Source organism: Homo sapiens, chromosome 1 (assembly GCF_000001405.40).
Source record: "Homo sapiens chromosome 1, GRCh38.p14 Primary Assembly".
Taxonomy (NCBI): domain Eukaryota; kingdom Metazoa; phylum Chordata; class Mammalia; order Primates; family Hominidae; genus Homo; species Homo sapiens.
The window spans coordinates 75079209-75092044 of NC_000001.11; the positions used below are offsets into that span (position 1 = coordinate 75079209).

The following is a 12836-nucleotide window of genomic DNA, read 5'->3' on the forward strand; positions in this document are numbered from 1 at the left end:
ATAACACTCATCCTCACTTTGTAAACCAAAAAAAAACTTTCTCATCACTCAAGGCACAGATCAAATATCATCTCCTCCATGCTAACTTTCCTTACTCTCCTCTTATTAGATGAACTAATTCCTCCTTATCACTTCTTAGTTTATGTGACAAGCCACTAACCAGTCTCCTTCAATAGACCAAATTCATGGGCAGAGATATCTCTTTCAGCCTTAGGTCAAGCACAGCAGGTGCTCAGTAAATATTTGCTTAATAAAGGTATGAATTACTACAGCTTTAAAACACTAAAATAAAATGTGAAAAGTACATTTTCTTAGCAGGCAATACAATGAAATCCCTAGCAATGCATATCACACCACTGTCCTTAGCATTTGCCTCCAAACAGAATAAAAACAATTATTGATAGAAACAGCCTATAAAGCAGATACTGGCTCAATCCCTCAACACGTTCTATATAGAGGTTACATTCTAGGTTTCATTTAGTTTGTGAAGCCCAGAAAGGGCACCCCCACCCCACCCTAGCAGTAAGCATTAATCACACTGAAAGTGCTAAATCCAGTAACCTCTAAGTGCACTTAAGTCCCACTCAAAGTTAAGGGAAATTATGTGTATACGAGAAGTAGAAGGGGAGGAGAAATAAGAAAGATGCCTTGCTATTTCATGAAAAAGTCAGGAAAAAGACCACAAAGGTTCAATTCCCGAGAAAATTGTCACCCATTTGCTGTCACTTTTTCATCTTCATAGGAATTTATTGGATTAGGAAAGACCTTTGCTACTCCACATTATCCCAAGCTCCCAGTTGCCTTTGCATTAGTTAATGTCTGCACTTCCTGGTTAATTGTGGCAGACTAGCAGCAGGCTGCACACATGTCAGATGTCATGCTCTATCAGATGAAGAGGTTCCTGCCTCAGGCTGTTTATATATGACCTACCAGGATTTCCTGCTGCATGATGAAATAATTAGGAGGCCCTGGCATGCAAGGAATAATGTTGCAAGTAAGTTGTAGCAGCGTTATATTTGAAAACAAAATTGAAACATTTGGCTTATCTGTATCAGAATCTTCCTTAGGTTTACTGTGAACATTCTATTCCTTATTTTTATAAAACTTACATTGGTGTTAATTTTAATGTTCACCGGAGAATACAATGAGTTTAGCAAGGCTTTCTTTAATGCTTGTGCTGTGATTTGAGTCAAGAGTAAACAGGGTAGGGAGAGGTCATTTTTGTTTAATTTTCTAAATAAAGTTTGTCTTTTGACTTTTATAAAAAACCAATTCTACAGACTCAACAAAGTCTGTAGAAATACAGACTTTGTAATTGGTAAAAAAGTTAGTAATATTTTCTAAATCAATTAATCCCTAAGTCTTACTGAACTCTAACTTCTTTCTCACGCAGAAAATAAGTATGCATTCTGTTTATAATAAATGTTTTGTCCATAAGAGTATATTCAAAGACTATAAGCTCTTAGCCACATATGATTCCCAAGGTACCAGGGAATCATCCTGTATACAAACGTGATTCAATATTAATAATAAAAAATCCAATAATTTCATAAATTCTATCAACACAGCTAAATCGGCTGGACAATTTAGATCAAGTTATATTAGTAGGTTTTCCACTACCATGTTATGTATCCCTCTGCCTTAGTTCTTAATACCTGTTCACATTCTTTATTAAACCACTCACCTTCCATAATAAGACTGTAAACTTCCTGAAGGCTGTCATGCATTTTTTGTATCTCCTATTCCTAGTACAGTACTTAGCACATGTAACTACTCAATAAATTTTTGTTAAACTGAATTATATAATATGAAGTGAGGAAGGGAGAACAAGTGCTTAAGGAAAAAGTAATGATGAAGTTGAATTCCTTAATTCTCCTTATCTTTTTCTGTGTTTATGTAATGCAATCTTTCCGTGTAGGTACAGTGTAATCTTTCTCCCCCTTAATCTTTCTACCCACTAATTCCTCACTGCTGCAATTCTTCTAAAAAAGCTAGTGATTCTCAAACCCCTCATCTGAATCATGGGCTTAGTATTATTTGTTTATATATAATTCCTATCATAAATTACTAAAAAAAATTAAAATCCATCCATGTTTTGTTGCTTGAGAATCATACATACAAGAAAGAGATGAGGTACATTCCTGGAAAGCCAAGGAAACACAGTTTCAGAGAAGAAGGGAAGTTTCCTATTATAGTTGTAGGAAAGTTTTAAGAAAAGCAAGATACAAGATATTTAAGAACAGCAAATGGTTTTTTCCCAAGCATCAACCCTGATCCATTAATAATAGCTACCATGTAAAGAGACAGCCTCCAGGTTCTGTGAGAAAGTACAATAATTCATTGGTGGTGTCTGTCTTGGCCTTGGAAGAAGTAACAATGTAAGTACCAACTACCTGCATCCCAGTAGTTCTTGCTAATGACCCAGAAGGCTGCAGTTATTTTAGAGGAAAAGTGGAGAACAAAGAGACGCTCAAGTAAACGAGGATCTCTGAAACACAGCGAAAGTTCAATTAGGCACCATACCCAGGTTTTGGCCTCCCACTACCTTAAGCTGCTTAATAAACATGTATTGACCACCTATAGGAGGCATACAAATAAATATAAAATTTTAATATTATGTGATTAATAACATTAAAGCCTACAAAGAATGTTAAAGGAATTCAAAGTGAAGTGACTAACCTTGGTGGTGATAAGAGTAAGGGATGCCAGGAAAGGTTTCCCAGAGAAAGAGATGGTCTGAACAAGGCTTTAAGTATAGTAGAAATTATCCAGACCAAAAAAATAAAAATAAAAATAAAATAAATAAATAAAAGAAAGGCATTCTGGGCAGCATATACAACAGCATTCAAGGAAATATCCTTAGTTCAGTTGTGCTGTTTAATTGAAGTGCATGTGTGGGATAATTAGAGATAAAGTTAGAGAAGTGGAGAACAGCTGGACCTCAAAAAACTTTGTGTGTCAACAGAGTGGAGAATTTTCAGCAGGTCAGTGGTTTTTATCTCTTTCTCACCCTGCATTGACTATACCTTCTCTATCCCTTTTCCCTCAGTGATAAACACATTGTGGTCTCTCCTTTACGACAAAAATTTTCCTTTGATCCTAAAATCTCACTGATTGTATCTTTCCTTCTCTCCCAACCAAGTAGACAAGTTTCTGAAAATAATCATCTAATTTCAGTCTCTACTTCATATTTACCACTAAGCCTACTGTAATATGTTTTCTGTCCCATTGCTCCATCTGACTCCATGAGAAAGCACCCTCAGCAAAGACTCCAATTAACTCTGTTGTCTGTTCTAACAGGCCTGGGTCTTAAGAGGACCGTTAGTGACATCTGACATGACTGATAAGCACTTCTTTGATGCCTTCTTCCTTGGCTTCCAGGACATAGTCTCTTTTGCTTTTCCTCTTACCTCTCTAGCATCCCTGAGTCTTCACTGCAAGCTCTGCCTCCTCTACAAAAATTTTAGATGCTAATATACCCCTCTTTATACATGCTACTCGTTAGTGAATTCCTTTCCATTCTTCAAGATCCAACCAAAATGCCACCGCCAAGGTAAAGCTTGCTCCTGAAGTACTTCATTTACAATTATCCCACCATATTGCACTTATGTGCATGTCAGCCTCTTCCTGTAAATGGTGAGCTCTTCAAAGGCAAAGGCCATGTATCATACAGTATCATTGTATCTACAGTCATGTGCTGACACTTGGTAAATATACTATCTTTCCTTATTGCAGAAAGGAAAGGAGGGTTAGTCAGTGGTACCCTTTGCATGAAATGTTTGGGTCTTAGAGCCCTAAAGGGTAGTAATCCCTCATGTTACAAAAAGAAATTGAGGCTCAGAATGGCAAGGTGATTGACCCAAAACCACAGAGCATACAAAGGGCAAGATTTTGAAATTCCAATTTCCTGCTATTTCATAGCTTGCCTGCTCCATTTTAAGTAAAAGATTCATACAAACTATCAAAATCAGGAAAGAATTTTAACTCAGCAGTTCTGAATTTACAAGTAACTGTATAATAGAGGGAACAAAAACAATTAGTTTGTGCAAATTTAGGTATCTTCTGTTTCTTAGGAGTGTGAAAGAGAAGAAGGATGCTAAAGATGATAAATTTCTAGAAGAAACATTCCTGTGAGTTGCAGAAGCCTTGGTAAAATGTGTTTAATCCAGTCAGGAGATCCTCAGAAATGCAAATTACCCACTTGAAATAAGAAGGCACCTATTGTTCAGCCTTGATTGCCTCTGCAGGCCTACAGGCAAGGAAAAAAATATATATTTGAAGAAGAAAGGAGTCTAAGTAAACTGCACACATAGAAGAAAAATTAAAAATGAAGCCAAACTCCAACAGGGCTTCCATTTACCATCGAAGTGAGAAGAGATTATAGAGAAAAACCATTTGTGATTCTCAATCCTTTTAACTTTGTGTTGATTTTTGTTGTCTCCTATTTTCTTATAGGTGTTGATAAATCTAAATATATATTACAGTAGTTCCCCTTATCCTAGGGAGATATGTTCCAAGACCCCTAGTGCATGTGTGGGGTAATTAGAGTGAACATGTTGGGTAATTAGAGTGTATGTGTGGGGTAATTCAAGTAATTACCTCAGTGGACGCCTGAAACCACAGATAGTAAAAAACCCAACTGCTGTCAATCAGAACATGTTTCTGTTCATGTCTTCCACAAATTTAATGTTTTTTCCATCCTAAGCAGTTATCATGCGCTACAGCCATACATTTTGCAGTTTCATGTGCAACAGCAAAACTAGCATACATTTATTTTTTCTTCTCCACAATTTCACAGATAAAAGATTCATTCTTACCACAGAACTTAGCAACCTCAGCATATAATTTTTGTCCTTACTTTTTTTTTTCTTTTCGTACTCAGTCAAGAACTTTACATTTGCACTTAAAGGAATTGAGTTACTGTTTCTCTTTGACATAACTGAATTGCCACCCACCACTACTCTTGTGCTTTGGGACCATTATTAAGTAAAATAGGGGTTACTTGAACACAAGCACTGTGATACTACAGCAGTTGATCTGATAACCAAGGAGGCTACTAAGTGACTAATAGGTGGGTAATGTCAGACAGCATGGAGACGCTAGACAAAGGGATGGCACAGGGCCTGGGCCGGATGGAACAAGTTGGCAGAAGATTTCATCATGCTACTCAGAATGTCACACAATTTAAAACTTGTGAATTATTTCTGGAATTTTCCATGTAATATTTTTAGATTGTGGTTGACCTTGGGAAACTAGATGTGGAAAGGGAATCCATGGATAAAGGGAGACTACTGCATTATATTTGTCCTGTAGAGCCCTATCTCCCCATCCATAAATGTATACAGGGAGAAAAATTAGAGATGTCTCATTAATATAAAATACTTTATGCCAACAGAATAGACTTATAACAATAGTAAAAATGATAGTTTTCACTCATTTTGACATGTTCTTCATTCAGATTTTTGTTTCTATCTTACTTCTGCAAGTTCTATTCTTTTGCCTTGGAAGAAAATATGCTGATTTTTTTTTACTTTATTCCTAACTCAATTTATCTTTGCAAGAAAAGGCTTAGTGAGCAAAAACATAAGAAAACTTTCAAAGTCTGAGTTTAAAACATAATGAATCCTTCAGAAGAAAATAAACAAGGTGCCTTTTTTTTTTCTAAAATAATTCTCATCTAACCTGTTTACCAGCTGAGAAATAAAGGCCTTATTTAAACTTGAAATTTTTTTCATCTCTTTACCCTATCTCCTTTTCATCTTTATAAACAGAAGAAAATCTAGAATTACTATACTAACAAAGGATACAGCTGAACTACACACAGGTTAAAACATTCTAAATAAAGTAGAGAATAATAAATAATAGAATAGTCAAGGGAGTTAGCATAATAAACACATGAAGAGTAACATGACATCCTACAATGTAAGATGTCTCCCATTTCTAAGTATTTTAAACTTCCTAAATGGAAAGAGAGCTTTAAAGGCATAAGCTAACATTCTATTTGCATCAAAACTAGAGAAATCATATAGTCCACTTCTTAACTAATTCTAAAATCCTCATTAAAAATAATAGTGATAGCAGTAGTAGTGGAGGCGGTCATGATAGTGGTAGTATCAACAATTACCATTCATCATTCACTGCACATATTTGCAATATGTCAATCACTATGCTAACTGCCATACACGCATTATCTCATTTAAACCTCATAACAATCCGTTTGGATAATTATCTCCACTCTACAGATGAATATTCAGGTATATTTCTGGCTACTGGTGAGCTAGCTTCTGTCAGAACATTTTTAATGTTAAAAAATTTATTACTTCCTAAGGCAGCCCTTTCTATTTTAAAATGATTGTGTTAAAAAACTTTTGTTCATATGGACCCCAAATTACCTTCATGAAACCCCCACTCGTTCACCTTAGTTCTATTTTTTAGAAGCAAAACATGTCCAATATTTTTTCCAAGTGACAACCCTTCAGATCTTTGAAGATTGCTATCATGATATCATTTGCTATAACTAACCTGGTTCAGTATCACTGCAGCTAGATCTATCACCAAAGCCAGGCCAACCAATTTACTCCTCATCTGAAAACTCAGTTTTGAGCCAAAATCTGAGAAAAAATTAGCTTCTAGACAGGAGAACTATAGAGAATACTTTATCTCACATCCTTTATCACAGCAAGTTACCCTAACGCTGGCTTTTTTCTAGTTTGTGATTTTTTCCAGTTTATGGTTAACCAGTTATCTGTTTCCTATGACAAATCCCCTGCCTTAATTTTATTCTACTCTGAATCCTTCAGTGATTTCTAATAGGAAATATAAGTCATTAGCAAACTCTACAGGGCAAATAATTTCAGGTTTCACTCTTACACTCTTTAAATAGTATCTTGTTGGTAATGCACATTGTATTTTAAAAGAATTAGAACTGAAAATGCAAATAACCAACACGTATTAGTGATTGCTACAAGCCAGGCACTATTCTAAGCACTTTACTTATATTAACTCTTTCAATCCTGACAATCCTATTAAGATTGGTACTGTTATTATCACCATTTTAATAATGAAGAAACTGAGGCATAGAAGCTGACTAACTTGTCCAAAGCAAGTCCTATGGAACCTGGAATAGAAATCCAGGAAATATGACTTAACGCTTCATCACAACATTATGCTTCCTTCCAGTAAATATTAAAGTCTTCTGGAATCTGAAAATTGTTTCCTATAGTTTGGCATGTTCCGGCAATTTCCAAAGAGCCTTCTAGATCAGCAATGTTTTTCTGGGTCATTCCACTCCTCTTTTGTGAATTAACACATCTTTCTTCTTATAAGAGTGGCCACAATACGGGCTGGGAGCAAGGATACTTTGACTCAGGAATGAGGAATCAGAAATGCAGGTTGACCAACAAGACTCAGTAAGATCCAGATTTTTGTGGGAAGTGGAGGAAGAGGGATGCGACTACTTCAAGTGATATTGAAGATATAGTTTCTTTTATATACTAATGTGGCCACCACTGCCACATTCAGCTATGCTCTGAAATGAAGACCCATTGGTCAATTATATCTATATTTGGTTCAACTTGTGTATCTTTTCAGGACTATGTACTCTCAGTTATAGTCAAAAGACTGGGTCTATTTTGCAAACTCATTGTCCTGAATATGAAAACAGAAAAAGCTAGAGTTTTGTTTGGAATGGAGCTCACATGAGTTCTATAGTCATCTTCCAAGCCAACAGTTAGAGACAGTATAGTTGTTTAACTAAAGACACTTAACCTTCTGGCCTTTTAAAATCTAAACTGAGAGGATACTAGATAAGAAAAAATCTGCCTTTCATAGTCAGCAGTTATGGAAATTAAAGAAAAGAAAAATGACTTTTTACAGGGACTTTTTGTTCATCATAGGTTAAAAAAAGGTAAAAAAATAAGGCTCATTTTTAAGATATCTCACTTTCTGCTCAAGTGCTATTTTGTGTCAAACTCAATTGTCCACACAATGTACATACATAATCTATCTGTTAGAACTCAAAAAAGAATCTTATCTATTTTGACCAACCTAATCATGACTGAATGAATGGTTCCATCATTTCAAGAGAAAATTATAGCGAGCTATCCCACATATAGGCAGTTTTAACATGAACCATTCTCTCAACCTAACTAAGCAGTGGAGATTCTTATTTTAGGATGGAATGAATCTTCCAGATCTTGGCTCTGTCTTTTTTTCTTGGCTGCCTTCTAACTATTTGTAACCTCTTGTTGGTTACTTTATCTCCCTTTACATCTTTTCCTACATTCCCACTCAACCCCAACCTCTAAAATGCAAATCTTTTTTATATGTCAGCCTCCATTTGGCAAGCTGGATTACTGATTCAGGCATTTTTCTGCTGATTTAAACAAATCGCTTATCAGTTATTTTTCTGTCCCTAAATCCCTATGCTATAATAGGGTAATATGAGGAAATGTTCATCTCTTACTATCTTTTCTAAAGTAAAACATGCCTATTTATTGCACAACTATACACACACAGCCCAAGTCCCACAACCTTCTCAACTTTACAATGAGTAATAATTTCTTTTTTCAAACAATACAAATATATCTTCACTTTGGGAAGACAGATGAAGAATTTATCCACATGTATTTCTGATGCAGGTGAAAAGACAACAAAATATACTAAGAATTTAAGAACTTTCTCCATCTTTGTCATGTGACCATTCTGAACTGTCCCAGAAAAAATGGCATTTTCACTAAACACATGTGTGTTTCAGCTCTGGATAAATGTATTCTTATAATATTTTTCATTTGCTATATCATCTTTCCAAATAGTTTCTCACAGTCTATTAGCACCTCTCTACAAATCTTAGCAGCCCACAGCCCACAAAATATTCCCAAGTATCACAGTAGTTGGTTTCATACCCAATGTATACAAGGCTTGTTCTTCAGCACTCCATCTCCTGAAAAACACAGAATAGTACAAATTCTCTGGCCTGTGAGGCAAGAATGAGGTTCACAAAAATTTGTCAAGATAAATTCATCAACTTCTACGGCAGAAAGCACACAACAGTGGAAAGTTTCAATATTCACCTTCTCAGCTTCTCTATTCCCTGGTGTACACAACCTTCTTCAGAAATGGAGCCTGCTCTATTCAGAAGAGAAGTTCTCTCTTATCTATCATTTCACTTTCTGTGGTTTCAGTTACCTGTAGTCAACTGCCATCCAAAAATCTTACAGTATTTTGAGAGAGAGAGAGATAGAAAAAAGGAGATCTTATTCACATAACTTTTGTTACAGCATATTATTATAATTGTTCTATTTTATTATTAGGTATTGTTGTTAATCTCTTACTGTGCCTAATTTCTAAATGAAACCTTATCAGCAGTATGTGCAAGAAAAAAATCATAGTATACATACAGTTCAGTGTTATTGATGGTTTCAGGCATCCACTGGGAGTCTTGGAACATATCCGGAGCAGATAAAGGGAAGACTAATCTAACCTGGAAACAATTTTTGTCTCTTTTTCAAAGAAAAAGGTGCTAGAGATACTAACTGAAAAAGCATCTGCCTTGGCTGCATAATAATCTTCTTGAGACTATGCAGGGCTTCTGCCTATAGCTGTGCAGGTTGCGTTCTGCACAAAAGTACTAAGCCAAGGGAGCAAGTGTGGCTAAAATCTGGGCTTTACATAGTTGGACAAAACCCATACCCTTAGGATGTGACTGCTGAATGGAGGTACCTTTACTAATTTGTGCAAAGGCACTAATGGGTTAGTGGTGACCCTGTAGATAAGGAGCATATCAGCTTTATGATATGGTCCCAGCATTTTGAACAACCCATGACACATAAGAGCCACAAAGTAAGCATTTGAGAGGTGAGGGGAGAGAAAGGAAATAAATAATTCTCCACAAGTAGTATCAATAAATGCAAAACTCAAGCATAGAATCTGAGAGAAGTGCTCCTTTCTTTGGCTGTAGAATGTGCACTGTTAAACCTGCAAAGTCAGAGAAAAAAGAAAAATGAGCATTATGTGTTGTTACTGTTTTTATTCATTTATTTTTAAAAATCATGACAAACATAAATTAAACTACAACCTAACTTTTAATCATCCTGACCCCCTAACAATCTAGCCAAATGTTTTTGATGCCAGGAGTATATCATAATTTTATTAAAAATAAAGAACATTTTGATGGGCAAAATATTTTGTAAACTTGCAATGCATTTCATCAAGGTACAACTGTGTACTTTCTACTTGTAACCCAATATTAAAAGAAGTAGCATGATTTTTAAGTTACGAGGGAAACAAAACTTCTGTAAGCCTATACTCAACTGTATTAGTTACCTGTGGCTGCTATAACAAATTATCACAAACTTGATGGCTTAAAACAACAGAAATTTATTCTCTTAGAGTTCTGGAGGTCAGGAGTCCAATATCAAGGTGTCAGAGGATCACACTGTCTCCAGAAGCTCTTGAAAGAATCCATTCCTTGCCTCCTCCAGCTTCTGGTGGCCGTTGGCCTTCCTCGACTTGTGGCCATATCTCTATCTGCTCTGCCTTTACATGGTCTTGTCTTCAGTGCATCTTCTCTTCCACATGTCTAATTTCCCTCTGTCTCACCCTTATAATAATATGTGATTACATTTAGGGCCCACCAAACAATTCTGGATAAATTCCTTCTCTCAAGATCTTGAATGTAATTGCATCTTTGGCTCTATTATGTAATATTCCCAGGCTCTTGGGATTAGGAAGTAAATATATCTTTTGAGGTGCCCTTTTTTGCCTGCTACACCCACATATTGTATTTTACTGTTATTATATTATCCGAATAAATATTCATATTGTTCTCATTTTTCATGGTTCTGTAAATAGATTACAATACTTTTAGGAACTCTCTTGAAACTGGAAAGATTCCTTACTTAAGACACCAGAATTTTTTATTCTAAATCTAAGTCCAAATTCAATGACAACTCTTAAGGAACATGTTTCACCTTTATATGGTGAACCTCCTATAAACATTCTGAACTAATTTTGTGCAATTCTGAAATATTTTCTTTAGATACCATAAACTGCTTTGTTACATAGTTGTAGTTGAACTGATAGTGCCAAATTACTAGACAAATAAAATATTTGACAAGTCAGCCCTTTCTCCTTTGTCAAATTTGGCTTGTATCTCAGAGAAATATAATAAGCTGAAGCAATTGGTACTTTGCAAATTGCCAAAATTATGTGCCTAAATTAGAATTTCATCAAATAATGGTGACGTGAACATCAGCTTACTATATTGACAACTATAGTGTAATGCTTTTAAATGTTTAGAATAAATTTCAATGAGAGATTATGGATAAAAAGAAGTGCTAGCTGTCCACACAGATTTAAAGAGGGCTAATAATATCATAGCTATATCTTTATGCCCAGGGAAGTTATTGTTTTTTGTTGTTTTCAGTGTACCCAGAATTGAATAAGCTCCTGAAGACTGATTTAGGCTAGCTAAACTCATCAGAGTTCTGATTCATAAAGCAACATGTTCATTTACAATGAGGAATATGGTTTTCTTCAGTGATCACGGGAATGGGTCTGTCTGTTATTCAGGGAATCCCTTTCTTCAGATCAAAATGCTCAGAGGGCTGATTTATTTATCAGAAAGTAGCATTGTTAGCAAGGAATCTAAGCAAATTGAGTTTGAAATAGTAATTTATATGAGCCATGCACAACCTCACACACATATTAAGTTTCCACACATGGTTAATATCATCTAAAACCTGATGATTCTTACTTGCCTTACATTTAGAAAGTAGTCTTACTTTCAATTTTTAGGGACTCCTCACTTTGCACCAATGTACAGTCTATAACATGGTTAATTGGGTTGCAATCAAATAATCGAATTGGGGTTTTCTAATGCCAGTATTTTGGCAGCTTTAATAATATATCTTGAGTGACTGGAGCAAGTGAGTAGATACTACTTAGAATTGACATGATAGCTAAGATCACCCCAGCTAATTACAATAAATAGCTTTAATGTAAAGTAAATCCTTCACCTTTGACAATGATTCTGTCAATTACTGCAAGCTTAATATTTTTTTTTAAAGGCTGAATCTATACTTCAAACAAACAGGTTTAGTCAATCTCAGAAAGTGTATAAATGATGCAGTAAGGAGTCCTCATCCTGAGCCAGATCTAAATCCAATGATTACCAAATGAAAAAAAAAAAAAAAAAAAAAGGAAGGATTTTGGTTTATTTTCTCTGTTTATTCAAAAAAAATTACAAAATCCTATTGTTGACTATTATAAGAATAAGCAGGCTATCCTTATCTTGTGGTCTTTTCTCAGTTCACACAATTATTTTTGCTTCTTTTCCCTGGATGTAATATGCTTTTCCTTTACATGGTTTTAAAAATGCCTTTAGGGCATTAGGGTGGTGCTAGTTCAATAAAAGGCAGTCATTGTCTAATGATACAGGACTGATTCACTAACTGTTTGCAAAATATTTTGAAATATTGGCATTAACTTTAAAAACTACAAAGTATTATTTCCCAGTGGTAATCATAACTTTGAAACGCTAAGAAAGGAACAAATCCAGCGTCTAGCAAAAAGACTTGCATGCTGAGTTGAACCATACTCATTCATACATTCACTCATTCATTCAACGAATATTTATAGGGTGCTAGGATTTTGCCAGGTACTAAGAATACAATGCTGAGAAAAAAAAATACATAGCCCCTGTCTTCATGGAGTTTACAGTCTAGTAGTAAATTCAAATTCCATCAGATCAATGTATATTTCCTAGTCATGTTCTGAGAATGCTTTTGATTCAGGATTTTTGCTCTTCAGTTCAGCTAAGTCCAGGTTCTTTTCTT

General features: G+C 35.2%; 2 annotated features.

Moving 5' to 3' along the window:
* Positions 3112-3814: an enhancer, noted in NCBI's record as "H3K4me1 hESC enhancer chr1:75548004-75548706 (GRCh37/hg19 assembly coordinates)". NCBI's record gives its function as "activates a minimal SCP1, AML or CMV promoter by ChIP-STARR-seq in primed H9 embryonic stem cells {active_cell/tissue: H9 hESC(primed)}" and the evidence as "EXISTENCE:reporter gene assay evidence [ECO:0000049][PMID:30033119]".
* Positions 3815-4517: an enhancer, noted in NCBI's record as "OCT4-NANOG-H3K4me1 hESC enhancer chr1:75548707-75549409 (GRCh37/hg19 assembly coordinates)". NCBI's record gives its function as "activates a minimal SCP1, AML or CMV promoter by ChIP-STARR-seq in naive H9 embryonic stem cells {active_cell/tissue: H9 hESC(naive)}" and the evidence as "EXISTENCE:reporter gene assay evidence [ECO:0000049][PMID:30033119]".